Source organism: Homo sapiens, chromosome 3 (assembly GCF_000001405.40).
Source record: "Homo sapiens chromosome 3, GRCh38.p14 Primary Assembly".
In the NCBI taxonomy this organism is placed as follows: Eukaryota; Metazoa; Chordata; class Mammalia; order Primates; family Hominidae; genus Homo; species Homo sapiens.
In genome coordinates, this window is record NC_000003.12 from 89320459 (window position 1) to 89341597 (window position 21139).

Consider the following 21139-nt stretch of genomic DNA (forward strand, 5'->3'; position numbering starts at 1 on the left):
GCTTTAGGGGAAACATATTCTCCAATGTAATCATTGAGCCATCTTGTGTCATCTTCTAATCCTGGGAGATGAGTGCTAAATAGATGAAGAACTCTATTTACTCTAGGATATGAGATTTTAAATGAAACAATCCCATGGACTTTTTTTTTAAGCCATGAGGCTACATGGCAAGATTTTTTAAATCTTTGTTTACACTTAATTATATGCCTATTTAGGATCTTGATTAACAAAAATTAGATATTAGATTGCCAGCAATGAATGTAGATGTAAAACACCACAAAAATATTTGAAAGTCTTTTATAACTCCTGAAAAATTGTTACTGAAATATTCAAAATGTTACTATTCACCAAAATTACCCTATTCATGTGATGAGTATGTAATGATCTATCTCTCTCAGTAGTTGCTGTGTATTCCTCTGTAATGTGAAATTGAGAAGATTCCTAAGACAGAATCAATATCATCTTGGCTACTGAAAAGTCACTCCTGTGTGTATAGTAGGTGATAGAGGAAGAAATGATGGGCTATGTATATTTTATGAGAGACTGCCTTTTTTTTTCTCTCTCTCTATAACAAAGTTCACACCACTGGCTTGTTGTATGACACTGTTCCTGGTTTTCAGTATATTCACACATGTATGCGGAGTAAAATATAGTCAAAAGTACATGCATCCCTTGTTAAACTGACCCAGGAACAATTTGTTAGCTTTTTTTTAAGGTTCTATGCTGCGAGCATAATGGAAGCAGCATGTGAGTTGAAGAAGGAAGGTCTTTTGGCAAGTCCTTCTCCACCATCCATTGGCTTTGAGATCTGGGACTAGTTCTTAATGTAAGACACTAGCCAGCTAAACAGTGCCGATCAGAAGTAATATACAGATCTGCTGCCTCCTAGTCTGAAGCTATTCCTTTTCCTACATGAAAAATGCCATTCAATAAGGAAGCTGTGCCTATATACTTCAAGCTCATTTAAAATAACTTCTGCTCTAAGAAATGTTCTGATACCACTCCATTAAGTCAGTTCTGAAATACCTTGGGTACAGCACTTCCTTTAAATGTCTGCTATTCCTTTAGAAGCACCACAATATTCTCCTTCTCATTTGCTGATTACTTGTGAGTCTAAGAAATGTTTAACTTATTACCAAGTGCGAGCAAATAGAAAAAGGTTGGAAAGAAACTGAAAGGAGCATGGCAGAGCCTTATAAACCAGTGGGGACAAAAGAGCATATTTAGAATTATAAATAAAGGTACTGTATATAAAATTGAATCCTAAAATATGAATTTAATAAATGCCTTAATAGCAACAGATTGAATGTTGTATTACTTTTGAAGAATAACAAGAAAAAGAAAATTTGGTTAAAATAACATTCTATAAATAGCATTAAGCTTCTTGATAAAAAGTCATTTACAAAACTGAGCTGCTGCTTCTAGTATCATGGTATTTAGATGTATAAAGATGTTGTCTTCCATTACTTTAATTCTATAATACCTTATGCAGCATGGAAATGAATTATCTTATTTCTGAGCTTGCATTTGGTATAAAGTTAACTTTAGAAGTTTGGTAGAATTGTGTGAATTCTGGTACAGATTATTCAAATGAGTCTACTTCAGTGGAAAAATCCATGGAAAAATAGTAACTGCACACACACACAAACACACACACACACACAGAGGGGGGTTGGAGAGAGAGAGAGAGAGAAAACAGTATATACTTATCGCATTCAAGAGAGTTTCCTATTTGGCACCATGGAATTATTCAAGTATCCATTGAGTCTTTGGAAATAATGCTATGATCACCTAAAAGAGCCTGCCAATTATTGCCATATGTGAATGTGGTTTTTATAATCTGGATACTTATGCCCTAGGATTTGGACTAATAGCTCTAACCTTTGACTTCTCATTAACTGCTAGAAAAACTATGAGACAGAGGAGACATTGGTCAGTGTCAACATGATATAAATTTGGACAAGTGGCTGAAAGTTGAGAGGATTAGTATCACCTTAGCGATGGTACTGTACTTACTGAGAAAAAAGACTGGGAAAACTAAAGTATTTGAAAGTCATACATGTTTGGAAACTATGTAAATGAAGGCTCCTTCCAAAAGTGAGGACGAGATGTAGAGGGAAGGCAGCCAGGTTTGGAAGTGTTTGCTAGTGCATGTGGCAGCCTAAGAAATAAAAATTTATAATTGCCAGTATTGGGAGTGGGAAGAGTGTACCTATATAAAAAAGCAAAGCAGCTTTGAGCTACAAAGTCAAAGGTAATCATTTCAATTACCCCTGAGGAGATCCATTCAGCTTTGGTGCTTTTACCAGCAAGTACAAAGATTTCAGAGCATGGTAAACGTATTAGATATATGTGATCAGATGGCCTGGCATATACACCAAGAACCAAAAGCAAAAATTGCTTTGACTTGTCTAATTTGTTAAGTTATCTAGACATAGTTTATCTATGGAAATCTCTAGGCTCATAAAGTAGGGTGTGGCAAAGGACTTGCCATATATCTATTAATAACATACTTGGAAAAGAAGGTGCTCTTTTGTGATATATCTTTGTGAATTATATTTAAAAAGTATAATTTTAACAGAAAAGGATGTTGGTATAATATTCCAAGAAAAAGCAAATGTCCAATACATCTCCAAAAGTAGAAGACTAAGTAAAGGCAAATGTGGTTTAATATTGCTTAAATATATTGACACATCTACCTATGTTGCAGATTTTAAAAATGTTTATACACAATATGTAAGCATTTATTTATATAAATGTGTGTCAATACTTACTAATTTCTAATATGCTAATGTGTATTAGAGAATATTTATACTCACATGTAATTCCTACAAAATCCTATTATAAAGTTTTCACTATCCCCATTTTACAGACAAACTAAAGCGTGAGGAGGCTTTGTAACTTGTTCAGTTACATATATAGTAACTGGCAGAGCCAAGATTTGAACCTGAGCATTCTGAACCTGGGCTCTTAACAATTAAAATGTGCAGATCAAAATAATATCTCCTATTGATTTACCAGCATTGAGGATGCACTTTAAATTGTTGGTCCAATAGTCATGACATGATTTTTGTTGGTATGATCATAATTTTTTCTTTTCTATTTTGTTATAAATAGTATTTATTAGCCAACAACAACAAAAAGCTTATATTGGAGTTCTTAAAACACAGGCTTTCTATTTTTGAAGACAAGTATCTGGTTCATAAAGAAATCAAAACCAGTATTCTGGTTTAATAAGTACTATATTCTAAGACAATGAATCGCTCAACTCAGTAAAGATAGTTTATTTTTCTTACGTATCAGTAACGTGAAAGATTTCTCCAGCAATATTTTATTGAATTATTTTTACATAGAAATTATGTATTTCTAGATCACTTTGGCTTCTCTAGAAATCCATATTTTTGCTAACCAACTTCATTTAGTGTCAATAAACAGAAGCCTATGTGACAAAGAAAACTAAATGTGGCATTTTTCATAACATGAAAATATTGGAATCCATTTTTTTTTGCAGTACAAATACTATAAATACCACACGATTTACTACAGCAAATGCTAACTTGGCATTTCCTATTGGCTAACTCAATGTAACACATCCAAATTATAACTCCTGTGCCTTTGCTCATATAGCCATTCCTTCTGTAACTCAAAAAATAGGAATAGTTCCCAACTGCTCAATGTGGAACTTTAGATGTCAGTCTTTTTTTTTTTTTTTTTTTTTTTAATTTTTGAGACAACATCTCACTCTGTCACCCAGGCTGGAGTACAGTGATGCAATCTTGGCTCACCGCAACCTCCACTTCCCAGGTTGAAGCGATTCTCATGCTTCAGCCTCCCAAGTAGCTGGGATTACAGATGTGTGCAAACATGCCGTGCTATTTTTTTTTGTATTTTTAGTAGAGACGAGGTTTCCCCATGTTGGCCAGGCTGGTCTCATCCTCCTGAACTCAAGTGATCCACCTGCCTAGGCCTCCAGGCGCTGTGGCTCACGCTTGTGCTGGGATTAAAGACATGACCCACAGCTCCCAGCTAGTTTATTTTTTTATTTTTTTTATTTTTTATTTTTTTTAACTAGTTTATCCAGATTTATTTTTTCTACTTCTATTGCTATATCATTGGCAAAAATTACATATATTTAAGGTATACAATGTGACAATTTCTTATACATACACACTGTGAAATGATTACAAAAACATATCTATCACTACACATAATTACCAACTTTTAGATGTCATCCTATTTTTTTATAATTTCAAGTTTTATTTTAGATTCAGAGCATACATGTTCAGGTTTGTTATATGGCTATATTGTGTGATGCTGAGATTTCGGATATGAATGATCCCATCACCAAGATAGTGAGCATAATACCCACTTAATTTTTAAACCCTTACCCACCTCCCTCTTTCCTTGCCATTGGTCCCCAATGTCTATTGTAGCCATCTTTATATTTGCGAGTACCCAGTATTTAGCTCTCAGTTATAAGTGAGAATGTGCACTATTTGGTTTTCTGTTCCTGCCTAATTCACTTCGCATAATGGCCTCCAGTTGCATCCATGTTGCTGCAAAGGACATGATTTCCTTCTTTCTTATGGTTGCGTGGTGTCCCACTGTGTATATGTACTATATTTTATTTATCCACCACTGATGGGCACCTCGGTTGATTCCATGTCTTTCTATAGAGAATAGTATTGTGATGAACATAAGAGTTCATGTGTCTTTTTGGAAGAATGATTTATTTTATACTCTCTTCCACTTTGCACTCTGCATCATCTAAAATCTTCATATCATCTACATAATGTATCTCAAATAAATACATTTCTTTCTATGTCCATAATCACTTCTCTACCTATGTCTTATGATTTCTTATTTAGATTATTTCAGTAGTTTCCCATCTGTTCCATTCTTGACTCAGTTTAATACATTTTCCCGATAGAAGCAAGCATAATCTCTTTGAAATGTAAATCTGATTATGGTGTACCTCATGCGTGAAACCTTTCAATAACCCCTGATAACACTTAATGTAGAAAAACAAGCCACCTTAATATAAGCCTGAAGACATGGCATGGCCTAATTGGCCTGCATGTGCCACCAAATTAATCTGAGGCCCTCATATCATTTCTTTTCCAGCTATACTCTTTTTCTTTACCTTTCATTTACTCTCCAGTTCTTTCCTGCCTCAAGACTTTTACCCTAGAATTCTCTGCCTTCTACTTTATTTTTTCCTTTTACATATCATGTGAATACTGTAGTACTTTGTACATATCACAGAAAATGATAGATCTCTTTTAAAGGTTAGACACTGTACATACCATAAATATTATTCAACTGGAAATTCACTTACTCCATTTCTTTTCTATGCCAACTTAAATTTTTATTTAATAAAAAAAGTTTCCTTAGTAAATGTAACTCATATTTTCCTTTATTTTTGTGATATTTTCTTTAATATAATTAAGATTTATATACAGTTAAGATATTATACATATTAAGAATTTTTAAAAATGAAATCTTTAATATAACCAAAGATTATATTAAAGAATACAAAATTAAAATATAATTAAAGATTTTGTTTTAAATAAATGCTTATAGGACACTGGGAAGTCCTTTTTTTCTGGTTTTAAAATGTGATTATGATGATCATTAATTATATATATTATTATATGTTATGTACATATTACATATATTATACAGAGTTGTCCCTTGGTATCAATGAAGGATTGGTTCCAGGACCCCTGAGGATACCAAAATCCATGGATGCTCAAGTCCCTTGTATATAATAGTGTTGTATTTGCAAATAGCCTATTGCATGCTTCCATATACTTTATCTCTAGATTACTTGTAATACCTAATACAATGTAAATGCTAATAAGTGGTTGTTATACTATATTATTTAGGGAACAATGGCAAGAAAAAGATCTGTACATGTTCAATACAAGTACAACCATCTTTTTTTTGAGACAAGATCTTGCTCTCTTGCCCAGGCTGGAGTGCAGTAATGCAATCATGACTCACTGAAGCCTTGAGTCCCCTGGTCTCAGGTGGTCCTCCCACATCAGCCTCCTGAGTAGCTAGGACTACAGGCAAGTGCCACCACACCCTGCTAATTTTTGTATTTTTTGTAGAGATGGGGTTTCACCATGTTGCCCAGGCTGGTCTGGAACTCCAGAGCTCAAGAGATCCACCTGTCTCAGCCTCCTAAAGTGCTAAGATTTCAGGAGTGAGCCACTGCACCTGGCCCTTGACTAGCCAGTTTTTTTTTTTTAAATTGATCTGTGGTTGATTGAATCCATAGATGCAGAACCCATAAATACAGAGGCCAACTGCATTTCTGTATTTAGCACCTAATGAAACACATAAATATCTTTACAAATTTGTCCATCCTCTTTCTGTTTTTTTAATTCGGAAGCTTCTTGATGGATTCATAGCATGAGACTGATTATTTAAAGGGAAATTAGACCTACTAAGATATATGTGTTTGGTTGGACCAAGTAATTGGGCATAGGACATGTGATAATGGAGAATTGCTGTGGAGAGATGAAAGAGGCCTCCATTCTTCCCTGAAAGTTTTTCGGTTGCCTTATATAAGCCAGTCATTCTAGTACATGGTAAGAAATAAAGGTAAATAAAAGAAAGATGCCCATGAAGTGCACTTACCTTATCTATCACACTGCAGTAACATAATAGGAGTGGAGTTTTAAACACATGTAGAATGTGCTTTCTACATGTGTTTTATGAAAACATGATTATACTGTCAGTGTTTAGAGTGACAAGATTGCCTTACAAGATATATCAATTTTCAACTGAATATAGCACACTGTTTTAGAAAGAAGATTTTCAGGTAGTTGAAATTTTTATCTGGCCTGTAAACACACAGATGATGAAATGTTAAGGCAGTTAGAAATGACTGCTAGAATATGAGTTCAAATGATTTTATAGAATACTTCCATGAACTTGCCTAGTCATAAAAATTTTCTTTTCAGATATATCCCCACACTATGTATCATCAAATAAACTGTAAGCGCTAAGAAACCAAGACTTACTCAGAAGGAAAGTGGTACAGACTCTATCATGTGTTATACTGAGGGCACGTTAGGTGTACTATTAGATGTGTTTTTCCAGTTCTAATTGACAAAAGTGTTATTGGTTTGTAAATACTTTATTTAATTGTGCCAAATGTATAATCAAATTGGTAGGTGCAGTTGGGGGACAGTATGGAAAGTTTTTTTAGGCATCTTTTCTGAAGTGCATCAATATACCCCTGAAAGTCTTGAGAACTGTGCTTTTTTTTTGTTTGTTTGTTTTGTTTTTCTCTGTATTGCTTTCAGATACATGGTACGGACACATAGTAGGGCGTTATATCTGTAAATGCCATAAACTGTTTCTGATCAAAACTCAAAGAACTTGGGAGGCTGAGGCGCATGGATCACTTGAGGTGAGAAATTTGAGACCAGCCTGGCCAACATGGTGGAACCCCATCTCCACTAAAAATACAAAAATAAGCTGCGCATGGTGGCTGTCACCTGTAATCCCAGCTATTTAGGAGGCTGAGGCAGGAGAATCACTTAAACCCGGGAGGCAGAGGTTGCAGTCAGCCGAGATCATGCCACGGTACTCCAGCCTGGGTGATAGAGTGGGACTCCATCTCAAAAAAAGAAAAAAAGAAAAAAACAGAAAAAACTCAAATAATTTATGCAATCTCACTTTATTACTTTATTCTGTCAGACGTTAAGCACACTCCACTAATTTTGGAACATAAAATGCTTTATTTTTTCCCTCTACCCAATAAAGTTCCGTGTTTCGACTAATAACATGTAGTAGACAGTCCATTACATGGGAAGCAGGCAGATCCCCCCACAAAATAATTCAGCCCACAAATACCTTTTCAGCAGGTTTGCATAAATTAAGCATTCTCTACTCCTAATAAAGTTTCTTTGCATCAGAGCCAGTCACTTGACTAGACCTCTAAGATATTGTTGAAGAAAACTACTGTGAAACTAACAGTCACTGGAAAGAGATAAGGTAATCAATTTCCCTGTGTGCCTTGGAAGATGTCTCTATCTTCATAGTCACCCTTCCATTAAATTGGTTACATTATTTTTACAGTGCAGGATTGCATGTTAATGCTACATTAGTTGTTCTTTTACAGTTTTACATGAATAAGAAGAAATTGGATGCAAACACAGAATACCTATGTCTTGGAAGCCCTCAAACATAAGTTTCATTTCTGTTTACAACACTTAAATCTTGGGATAAACAGCCAATGCACTTAATACCTTTAAGCCCTAACCTTCTCCTCAGGAAAAAGAGATAATACCAGTCTCACATAATTGTTATGAATATGGAATTAAAACACAGGTGCAATGCTAGGCATGGAGTAGGTTTCAGTAAATGCTGCTTTTTACATTACCTGTAGGTATGAACTGTTCTCTCCAGGTACATCGTTCTGGAAAAGGTGATGTAAACATTGTAGTTCAATGTGCCTGGGTTTTCAAAGGCAACAAAATGTGTGCCGCTGTCTAAGATGTAACAATCTCAGGGAACTAACTCCCTTTCCCACCCTCTTCCCAATCCCTCACCTTTTTAGGTCTCATTTTTTTGCATGTTATAAAAAGGACACAATTATCCTGAATGAGTATCTCAAGGCAATCAATGAAATTCTAAAAAGTAACTCCAAAGGGTTAATGGAATATGTAATTATCTCTACTAAGAAATAGGGTGATGGTTTAAATTCATATGTAAACATACACACATACCCTCGGCGTGTCCATTTTAACACACACAAACACAACAATTCTCTCTCCTCCTTCTCCTTCCCACTCCCCGCTCCGCCCCCACCATCCTCTCCACACTTCTAGGGTAGCAACACTGAATACAGATGGCCAAGTCTGAGGTTATGTGACATTTCCAGATAAAGTGAACAAAAATGGCAGAGATTCTTCTATTGTTCTTCCTTATGGTCCACATTCCTAATGTGTCCCAGTTATTTATACTATGAGTGTTTTATATTTGCCAACTATAAGCAATCCATCTTAATATTTCCAATACGCTATTTTCTCATCTTTTCTCCCATTCTTCCTGTCCTCTAAAAGGACAGGAAGAGAGAATTTCTTCCTCTTAAATGGATTTAATCATTGTATTCCTTTTATTGCAATTCATCTTCCAAGTTGAAAGTAAAGTTTTAGCATAACATAGTGAAGAAAAAAAATGGTTATCTCTATATTTATAAATTAACCATTTTAAAGAATGTAAACCTGTTATAGTGCATCTTGAAGTTTTGGGATATTTTATTTTCATAACACCATTAAATACTACTATATATTGCTGTGGTATCTGCCCATGAGATTGTTCCATATGCTTGAGAAGTTTCTTCCCACCTTCACTGGGAGAGGGGAATATTTTTGTGTTTCTGACATACAAATGTCAGTGAATATACAAATCTGAAACTTTATAGAGGCAAGTTTTTAAAAATATTTTTATTCTTAGAAAAATATTTTTTATTAAATAAGATAGAACTCATTTTATGTGAAAATCAAATATATAAATGTTTCTATACAATTACAAATATTTATGTCTTTATAGTTTCAAAAAAGAGGATTCTTTTAAGATATTTAAAAAACTCATTCAGTCAAGTTTTGTTGATCCCCTAAGCACTTATTTATCATGGTGTTTATGTTTTCCTTGAGAAATCCATTCTTATCTATTTAGGGAATAAATTTCAGGATACCTTAAGTAGAAACCCCCTTTCCATCTTAGAACAAATACTTACCATAAACATAAAAATAAATAAAAAACAGACCCTAAAATTACACTAACTCTTACTTTATTTTTCTGTTACCTGATAAATGTCTGTCTGCCATGAAATCACTCAAAGCAAATATTGAATACTTTTAAATGATAAACTTCTCCTAGTTGGTAATATTATGTGATAATAAAAATCCAATGTATAAATTATATATCATAGGTTTTTTTTAAATCCATTGGCTTTTTAACAATAATATTATCACATAAGTCATAGTAATAAATTTCGAAAAATAAAGTGGGATGGAAAGCTGATAGGATGATATGAAATATTAAGGTGTGAATTTGAAAGCTGAGTTAATTCCTCAGAATAGAAATGTATGTTAATTTAAAATAAATTTATCTAAACAGTAAAGCCAATTTAAAGGACTTATAATAAAATGCAATGATGTCACCATTTTTCAAAGTTCCAGTTTGTCATCTTTTATTTGCAGAGTGGATAATCAACAATATAACTAAGAGAGCAAATAATTGCACATTGTATTTTGCAGCATCCACAGAAATTTGTCGTTTATCCCTCTAAATTTTCCGCTCTGTTTTCATTTAAAATCCTGGATTTAAAAAAGTGCTATCTTCTGTATACATCTTACCAAGTGGGGATGCAATTACTTAATCTGGAAAGTGTGAAAATTCATGTTAGTGGACTATCAAAATTTTCTGTCAATTATAAATTTCCTCCATGTTGCATGTTTTTGAAGGGAAAAAAGCAAGAAGAAAAAGGAAGCTCTTAGATCAGTGAAATGGAAGTAAGAACAAATAAAAACTGTGGTGAGTGGATGTTTGTGCATCTGTATGTGTGTGTGTAGACAGAGTGAGAGACAGATATGGATATGCAGATGTTTGCCCCACATAGAGTGTGCAAGTGTGCAATGTATTTACATACGTTACATGTACATAACTGCACGCACATGCACCCAAACCTCAAATTATACAAACACACATATTCTTTGACTAAGATATTTTGATTTTTTATTGTGTATGTGCAATAATTTTACTTCTAAGAACCTTTTCGTTTTTAAGTTTATGAAATAAGTGATCAAGTTAATGTTTGATGAATAAGAAAGTACAAACAACAACAAAATTATATATACATTTTTATCCTGCCTTTTTCCTGTAAAAATATTATGAGCATCTTTCCATGTGAGACACTAATACCATTATACAAATGTATGAGAATAGCATAACTTATTTATAAAAATGTGTGAACATAGCATAATTTATTTAGCTGCTTTTCTAATTTAGGTCATCACACTTTTTTTCTAATTTGCCAATTTTATAAATAGTGTTGCTCATATAACTTTGTGTAGATGAACATACCTAGGACCTAAGTGTTCTTCCTACATTCATGTACAATATTGATCCTTTAGAAATTACAGCATCTAGGTTTTCATCATTTCTATCTCAGACTCCTTCTCTGGGTGGCATTGGACACTCCAAAATTCAATTTATGGTGGTAATTCTGTTCATCTAAAATTAAATTATAAAGGTGGATATTTGATTGGTAACCAAACCTCATGTTCTAGTTATGATTCCAAATCAGCCTGGGAAATGCTAATTTATAGTAAAGAGTATTCAGATGTAGTAGTGATTTAGCATCTCCAAAACTCCTTTCTAGGAGTTTTCCTATACATTCCAATGCTGTTCTGATATTTAACAAAACAAACAAACAAGCAAACAAAACACTTCAGAAAAGCTTTTCAGCACTATTCTGAAAAGCTTCTCCAGGCTGTCTGCTAATATATCCTGAGTATAGAGTTGAGCTTTATGCATTTTGACATTCACCTTAATAACATCTTCATAAATAAGACTTTCTATCCCATTCTCGCTCTGGCCCTTCCCACATAATCGTCTGCTCATTACATGCATATTCTGTTAATTGATCTCATTCTCTGAGCACTGATCATGAAGAACGGAAAACCCAACTAGTGCTACTCTTAGGACATACAGTTCCTTGAAAGTGGACAGCCAAAAAGCTGGCAAAACACCACCATCCTCAGGACCAGAAGCTGTTTTAACATTCTCTTTGTGGCGAATGTACATTGGACATATTTTAGTGTTACTGGCACCTGTCTTACTAAATCTGATGCAATAACAACAAACACAATAAAGCCTTGTTACTAAGCTATCTTTGAGCCATACTGGATTGTGATTGATTTTGCTGTGTTTAATGGTGTGGTGGCATTTTGCCTTAGGCCTTTTTTATAGAACAGTGGAAGGAACAGAAGAAGGAAACACTTGATCACTTTGTAAATGCTGCACATTGCAGGCAGAGTTTAATGACTGAACGTAGCCACTTCCAGTGTATTGAAATGCCTGGGCCTTGCCTCAACGCATTGTACCTCTATTCAGATGGCAAAGAATAGAGTTCCTGTAACATTGTGGAGTGCAGCTCATTTTGGGCATAAACAGTTGCTGTGACCTTGTACAGGCAAATAGACCCTGTCAGGCCTGGAATTGCAGGGCCAGGAAATCATCTGTTTAGTCAGTGCTGGTTCTAGTCATTAGTTTGTGTTTATGGCTGGGAATTGCTAATATAGCCCTGTGTGGAGGGAGCTAACGTCTGAATACTAAAAGAGACCTATTTACCAACAGCTTTATTTTTTTAATTTAAAGTCAATTCAAATTGAAATGAGCCTTTTAACCCTTAATTAGGACCATGTTTCTTCTAAAAGTCAACCACATTAGTCAACCGGAGACAAAATTCACTTTGCAATTGAAAGGCTGCCTTCTTTCTTTCAACAGTAGCCACCATGGTTTACTAAGTGCATTTGTTTCCCTTTCACTATGGTAACTTTACCCATTCCCTGTATCAGCATAGTTCAAAGTCATCAATTACAACTGTGACAAAAATGTGTTTTGTGCTTTGGGAATGAGGCCAAGATTCTATCTGGAAGCTCTTCCATAATGATTATTCATTGTATAGGTAGTGCTCATAATACTCCCTGTTTCATACTTGTTTCCATATTATTTTTCAGAGCTGGCAGTTTGCTATTTTACCCCCATATGGGCCCACAGTGTTTAGTTCCTGTTTTATTGTTTCCCCTTCATAAATATGAAATCAGCAGGTTCCCAAAATATTTCTAATTCATCCACTACAAATTGGTATTATTTTGGCTTCCTTCTATTATCTTACTCATATTTTTAGTATTTCTTAATAGAAAATTAACATTTTGCAAAGGCCTTATCTAATTTGTTTCACTGTGGCCCATTCTGGGTGTTTTTTAAAATAAGTTTTGGTGTTTGCTCGATAATGCACAAGCATGCCGTCACTAACTCGGCACTTAAACTTGAAGAGCTGAAGACTAGATTAGCAAGAAAAGGGTAAATAAAACCTAACTGCAGGCTGGGCAGGGTGGCTCATGCCTGTAATCCCAGAAGTTTGGGAGGTTGAGGCGGGGAGATCACTAAGGTCAGGAGTTCGAGACCAGCCTGACCAGTATGGTGAAACCCCATCTTTACTAAAAATACAAAAATTAGTTGGTGTGGTGGCATGCGACTGTAGTCCCAGCTACCTGGGAGGCTGAGATAGGAGAACTGCTTGAACCAAGGAGGCAGAGCTTGCAGCAAGCCAAGATCACGCTGCTAATTCCAGCCTGGGTTACAGAGCAGAGCAAGACTCCATCTCAAAAAGAAAAAAAAAAATAAAAAACCTCACTGCAGACTAACAGAAGGCAAATGTGCTCTCTTTTCAGTTGTCTTTTTAATACTGTGCTTATTTTTCTTGTCATTAAAAGAGAAAATATCTTATATTTTTAAAATTAGAAATAATTTTGATTGATGTTATCAAATTTGATTTTTATGTCTATTCATTCCCATAAAATTCACAAACTTCCAAACATTCTTCACAATGTAAAATGTGGGAAGGGGATGACTATCATAACATATAGTTTTATTATGTTATTGGTTATGATGAAAGTATAACAGGGAATTATTTGTTTGGCAGTCAATGTATATCATTCAGTCCATTTGACTATAAAACCAATATGCCCTTTGAATATACACTACTCTGCTAGAGGAAAGCACTGCAAAATCCATCATTTCTTTTTCAAGTATATTTGTTCTCAGCCAGGAAAGAATTTCATTTCCTTGTTCTGTTGCCATATGGCATTTTATAATTTCAATGGCTAATTTTAATCCTTAAAGCAGTGATGAACATGAAGTTAATTTGTTCTTTTATCTCCACTTAGAAAGTGTTACTAATCCTACAGATTTGGGCATACAGGGTATTAACATTTTAAAGTGTCTAGGCTAAGAAGAGTCTTTAGAGATAACTTAGTTAACATCTGTCATTTTTTAAATGAGGAAATTGAAGTCCTGATAAGACAACTGGTTGCAAATAATTCACTCACTTTAAAAATTCATCTCATTCACTGCTAGGTGCTGGATGGTGTGCCAGATATAGGGTGCACAAAATGAATAGGAAATAACTCCTGTCTCTGTATGGCTCAGGCTCTAATCTGGGAATACGTAATTACTTAGGGTAGAACCTTAGAGTTATTTATAGAAGAGGAAGTCACTGTCTCAAACACCTCATTAAAGTTTGAAGATACCTGATCAGTAAATCTAAGCCAACACCTATTTAATAGGAAAAGCTAGATCAAAACATGCCATTTCCCGCTTCCTAGTCCAGTGCTTTTCCTCTAACATGCTGAAGACAACTTGAAGTATTGGGATAAAAAGAAGAAATTTCAGGAAATTGCTTAGTGAAGATAACATATAAGTGACATATAAAAACGTATCTTGCAACTCCAATTCTCAGGTGAGAAGATCCATTTATAAAATAACCATGATATGAAACTGATCTCCTTTTTAAAAGCTGGGATTTTGACTTTTATTACTATAAGACACAATAAATGGTTGTTTTCATTTCTTTGGGCTGCTATATCAAAATACCATAAGCTGGTTAGTTTATAAACAATGGAAATTTATTTCTCCCTGTTCTGAAGGCTGGGAAGTCCAAGATCAAGGGGCCAGCATATTCGGTGTCTGGTGAAGACTTATTTCCGGGTTCATAGGTGACACCTGCTAGCTGGGTCCTCAGATGATAGAAGGGACAAGGCAGTTCTCTGGGACCTCTTTTATAAGGGCACTAATCTCATTCATGAGGACTCTGCCTTCATGATCTAAACCTCCCCAAGATCCCACCTCCTAAAACCAACATATTGTTCATTAGATTTCAACATATATATTTTAGGGAAACACAATCATTCACATCATAGCAAGTGTCTAGGTCATTTTAGGAAATCGATACATGTTTGATAAAAGTGAAGGAATGAATTCAAACATTATGTGAACAAATACAATTCGTAGCAAATCCAGGATGATATCTAGTAAGGCTTGAGAAGGTGCTGCCTTCCATTTTAATTGTTATCAACTTAGACTCATGGATCATCTTACTTGAATATATCAATATAATGTTAAAGATAAGAGTTCCTGCCACAATTAACTAGTTTAAAAATCTTCTTACAAAATGGGAGAAAGCATCTCTGGAGCCACATAAAAAGGTGGCAATTTGCTTCCACTTGAAAGATTTTAAACTATTCAATCACTCTTTGGTTTTGCTATCCTGGGGTTAAGATCCATGAATAATTTTTCCACGTGTTTGACTGACAAGAACATTTACTACTGGATTACCTGAGGGAAGACGTAAATCAGAATTGTGTCATTTTGGCAGCAGCTTTTTGATATGTGTGTATCTGCCTTAGTTAAGTATTGATTTAATAGCTGGTCTCCACTACAGACAACCTTGACTGTATAGCTGGGGCTTTGTATTTTAAAATTTGTCTCTGGATAAATCTTTTTTCCACCCTTCTTGTCTAATCTCTTTTTTCTTTGGTATTCTCTAATAAGTTGACTGGGACTTATTTTCATTAACAAAAGGAAAGAAAGCACATTAATACATCTACTTTTTATTTCCTACTTTTATTCTCTTATATGTGCAACCTCCTTCAGCCTATAAAAATGCTTAAATGAGAGAAATGTGTAGATTGTTACTCACTAGTTTTACATTCAAGGAAGGAAAGGAGATGTTTTCAATATACAATCATTGTCTTTGCTACTATAAGCAAAGATAACACACACACACATTCACACACAAACATAGATGCTCCTTAAAGTCTTTAATACTCAGGATGATTTTTTGAAGGATAAAGAAGACATGACAGACAGACAGGTAATTGAGCACAAGTTGATTTACTGCAAGGGAGAGAGATTGCTTATTGATGATATAAATTTAAAAATTGGCTTGTTAGAGAAAAATACATTTATAGAGATTGTTTCTTTATAAAATAATAATTTTATACATTCTCCACTCATATTCTCAAATTCATTGAACAGTTTTGGTGGAGAATTGAGATACTACTTGGACAAGAAATGGAAAATTTACTTATATGCCTCCCAAATACAGCATGTCACTGTCGTCCTACTCGTGAAATTGAAAAATTCCCACTGCCCTTCCAACTAAAAGGACACTTACTCATCCGCCCATACCAATGTTAGACATCAAATAGATAGCAAATCCTAGAGAAAGGCTGGGTGCAGTAGCCCAAGCCTGTAACCCCAGCACTTTGGGAAGCTGAAGGGGGAGAAACTCTTAAGGCCAGGAATTCAATACTAGCCAGGTAATATAGTGAGACCTCATCTCTACTAAAAGTTTTAAAAATTAGCCAAGCATGGTAGAATGCACCTGTTGACCCAGGCTGAGGTGGGAGGATTGCTTGAGCCCAGGAGGTGGAGGCTGTAGTGAGCTGTCATCATGCCTCTGCACTCCAACCTGGACAGTAGGGTGAGAAGAGCAAGACCCTGGCTCAAAAAAAGAAAAAAAAAAAAAGAAAAACAAAAATCCTAAATCCTAGAGAAAGACATGTACGAGAGAGCATTAGCCTTTCTGTGATGTTTTCTCACTTGGAATAGATGACAAAGTCTTGCAATTTTTAATTAAATAAAAGTTTAAATGACTATGTTTCAATTTCATATCAACAGTTTAGAATTGGTAGAAAAATAATTTGTGTTTTAAGGAAGTAATTTGCTTTCAATGATTGATTTTTATAAAATTAAAAGAAAGATTCCTTCCCTGTTCAAACTATACCATTGAATTTCTTTGTTATCTTGGGCATGCTGTCCTTTCCATTGGTGCTTCAATTGTACAGTCTATAAAATACACAGACTGATACCTACACCGATAATTTCAATAGAACTTTGATAAGATTTAATTGAGATGGTACATATAAAAGTCCTACCAAAGAAGTAAAGACATCTACAAAAATTAAAATGTTATTATAGAATCTAGCATTTTACTCTGCATATAGTTGACATTAAATGACTATCTATTCATTCGTGGTTAAAGCCTATCAGCTAGTTATCAGGTGTCAGATGTTGCAATGTCTGTCCCTAAACTGTGTGTCACTTAACTTTCTGGACTTCAGTGACCTCAGATGTAAAACACACATACAGATCAATGTGATTTCTAAGGATCTTTTAGCTCCATTAGGCTATTATTCTATTTAATTAGCACATCTCAACTGAATTTCCTATTCATCTAGTCACTCAGGTATGCCGTCTGCTACAAGTAAAAGAAACCTAGGCCACAGTGACTTAAACAAACAGGGTATTGTCTTTCTGACATTATAAGAAATCTTGAGATTGGTGGTTCCTGGATCAAGTACAGAAAACACATCATGCTGAATTTCTTGGCCTTTCACTCATGATCACATGTAAGCTGCTGCAATTCCAGCCATAATGTCCATAATCAAGGCTGGAATAACTTGGCTTCAAGTTGTATTTGTACATCTTGTTAGAAAACAAAAAGGTATCACAAATATTTTAATCGGACTTCTGTGTACATTTCTTTGCCCACCTTTTTGTCCATAACTTTGGCCGTTCATCTCTAGCTTCACTGGTCTAAGGAAGGAAGGATTTGGCTGGCTTCATCTGTGAGCAAAATCAGGATTCTGCTGGCAAGAAGGGAGCAGAGTTTGGGTATTGAGTACCAACACTACTTGCCATAAAATTCTATGTAACAGTTTGTATTTTTCATGTTGATTTATTTGTATATTGAATTATGCTTCATACTGGCCACTTCTACTATCTATGTATGATCTTTCTCAAATGGCGCTCCTTCTGTGGAGTCTCTTCCAACCACCAATCACAATGAAGTGATTGCTCAGCATGATTTGTATTAAATGCCCGCTGCCCATTTTCTATTGCAAGGGCCCTTTGGGCATGGGCAGAATTAGGGACATTTTTGCCTTTTTGGGAATCAAAGAGCCCAAACAAGAATAGATGTTTGACAAATATTTATTTATTTATTTATTTGTTGAGACGGAGTCTCGCTCTGTCGCCCAGGCCGGACTGCAGTGGCGCTATCTGGGCTCACTGCAAGCTCCGCCTCCCTGGTTCCCGCCATTCTCCTGCCTCAGCCTCCCGAGTAGCTGGGACCACAGGCGCCCACCACTGTGCCCGGCTAATATTTGTATTTTTAGTAGGGACGGGGTTTCACCGTGTTAGCCAAGATGGTCTCGATCTCCTGACTTTTATGGTTTTTACAACATTTGTTATACAGGTATTCACTAAACACTCAGTCACTTTTTGTTTCTATTACAGATGGCTATACTATACGATACTTGAAAAGAGAGTCACATAATCACTTCCTAGGTACTGCACAAATTATCAAGATTATTGATAGTATCTTGAAGGTAGCTACAGTTAATAAACCTAAAAGTTAAGAATGCTACTCAAACTAGTCACTAGACTTTATCCAATTATGACTAAATAATAACCCTGAGATAATAACAGTAAAGGATACGTAGGCACATATACATACAGCTTCATAAATATTTGTCGGCCTGTGGCGGTGACTCACGCCTGTAATCCCAGGACTTTGGGAGGCCGAGGCGGGCGGATCACAAGGTCAGGAGGTCGAGACCAGCCTGACCAACATGGTGAAACTCTGTCTCTACTAAAAATACAAAAATTAGCTAGGCCTGGTGGCGCACGCCTGTAATCCCAGCTACCTGGGAGGCTGAGGCAGGAGAATAGCTTGAATCTGGAAGGCAGAGATTGCAGTGAGCCGAGATTGTGCCACTGCACTCAAGCCTAGGTGACAGAGTGAGACTCCATCTCAAAAAAAAAAAAAAAAAAAAGAAAGAAAGAAAAATTATAATTGTTAGGGCAGTAGAATTGACTATATGTAATGGATCTCAGTGTGACACCAAAAGTTGTTCAATACATTGGAAATTGGTCCTACAGCAGCCATTCTTGGTAGGAACTAGAAAACAGTAAGACTAGATTAATGATTGCTATCATTTTAAGTTATTCCAGTAGTTTATTTTGGCAGTGTATTTCCCTTGTCTTATTTTAAGAAACTTTCAGTAAGAAGATAGTCTACCATGGATATATTGTATTTCTTTTCAGAAACATATTTAGTGATTATAAATATTGATTTGTTCACACAGGTTTTACTTTAATGCAAATAATCTTCTCTTCACAATATGAAGTTAATATAAGAAAATTCTAGAATGTAATGACCATCTATAGGGCCTATTCTGTATATAAGTTCTGTAAATCATCAAGTCTATTTAAGTTCTGTAAATCATCAAGTCCAAATGTGGCACTGAAATTGAGCTTTAGAAGTTTTAGAAATTATTGACTTCCAAGGATCATCTTGAATCTAAAATTTACATCCCAAATTCCTTCTCAAATGAATTACTAGAGACTTCTTGGAATTTTCACTATGATTTTAGTTCTCAATGTAATTATAAAAATGCATCAAAAGAAGTAATGCAGCATTTTGAATTTTCTATCAGACAAAATGAAAATAATATAGTAGAGGCAGTTTTAGGCATATCTCTGTAAAACAGTACATAGATGCTGAACCCTAAATTATAAGCTGAAATCAATGTTCGATAACCAGTTCAATAGGCTTACAAAAACCATTTTATGCAGAGATATGGCCAGAAATTAAAAAGATAACACAGTTATTAAAAGAGCTCTCATCTAGTAACAGTTCATAAGTGTATTAGTTTAAATAGGAACTGTATATCCCTCTGTATTTCAGATATAGACAAAGGAATATATTTAAATCTTTATTTTAGGCCATTGCCATAGGAAGTAAGGAAAAGTACTGTCAAGCCAGAAAAAAATATTGTAGCTCATGAAAATTATTTATCAAGAATCTTAAAAATATACGTGAAGCCATGATCTCTTCTTTCAGTTGCTTACACTTTGTGGGACGAAGTTGTACCCACAGAGCAATTAGAAAACTAGTCAATGTTAATATACTGCTTGCTGCAGTGCAGATAGTATACACATTGCATCATGTTTTAAAAAGGGAATTACTACATGGTGACATGGTTTTGCTTTATTTTCTCCACAAATAGTCCAATGCCAAGTAAAGCTGTGAAAACACAAGCTGGAAATTTCATCATACACTAGTGCCAAAATAATCTAAATCTTGTGTGTGTGTTTTTCTTCTTAACATTTGGTGCAAATTCAAGCATTTATGTAGAAAAACTACAGTAGGCTCTGTCATTTGCTTCTGTAAATTCTTGGAGGAAAAAACTTGATTTTTATTTATAATAAATTCATATTCGAACTTACTTAAATCTGTTTTACATATTTTCAAAAAAATTATCACAGACTTTTAAAAGAGAGTCATTTTGTTTGTAGCTTGTCGACCAGGTTTCTACAAGGCATTGGATGGTAATATGAAGTGTGCTAAGTGCCCGCCTCACAGTTCTACTCAGGAAGATGGTTCAATGAACTGCAGGTGTGAGAATAATTACTTCCGGGCAGACAAAGACCCTCCATCCATGGCTTGTACCCGTGAGTAGTTTTGCTGCAACCCATGCCTCCATGTTTGTTTTGTTTTCTTCTTGTTACTGTGCTGTTTGTTTTTGTTTTAAAGCATTTGGCCCATTTCCTTCTGTTGCCCGTGTGCAAATTGAAAGCTTTCTCTGCTTCACTCCCCATGCTTGGCTCACCACAAATGCAACATTTATCACACAAAATGAATTAAATTTTAAAGCACTTCCTGCAACACAACCCCCTGAAAGAGAGAACATTTTCTGTGTCTTGTTTAGATCCTGCATTACATATGACAGGATAGGGGAGGTTATAGACAGGGGATTTATGTTTTTACATTTCTATTCCCTCTTGCTGTATGTTGGTCATAGGTCATAGGGAAAAAGGACTAAGAGTTATAAAACTAATACTAAAGTTTTCATAACTATTCACAAGGGTTTTGAACATAGTGATGAGTTACTTTGTTAGAATTTGTGAATGTATCCTTACCTTTGAGTTAAAACTCCGCCATTCACAGCTTGGGGAAGACAGTGTTCTTGAATCCATG

General features: G+C 35.1%; 1 protein-coding gene across 5 annotated transcripts in view, besides 1 other annotated feature; it reads left to right on the top strand.

Moving 5' to 3' along the window:
• The window catches only part of EPHA3 (EPH receptor A3), a 374514-nt gene that overhangs the window by 212838 nt on the left and 140537 nt on the right, over positions 1–21139 (top strand). For all 5 annotated transcript variants that reach the window (NM_005233.6, NM_001410778.1, XM_005264715.4 and 2 more), the window contains exon 4: positions 20458–20613. In NM_005233.6, coding sequence (NP_005224.2) covers positions 20458–20613 — 156 coding nt within the window. The remainder of the gene's footprint in view (positions 1–20457; positions 20614–21139) is intronic.
• Positions 11671–12260: an enhancer, noted in NCBI's record as "NANOG-H3K27ac hESC enhancer chr3:89381279-89381868 (GRCh37/hg19 assembly coordinates)". NCBI's record gives its function as "activates a minimal SCP1, AML or CMV promoter by ChIP-STARR-seq in primed H9 embryonic stem cells {active_cell/tissue: H9 hESC(primed)}" and the evidence as "EXISTENCE:reporter gene assay evidence [ECO:0000049][PMID:30033119]".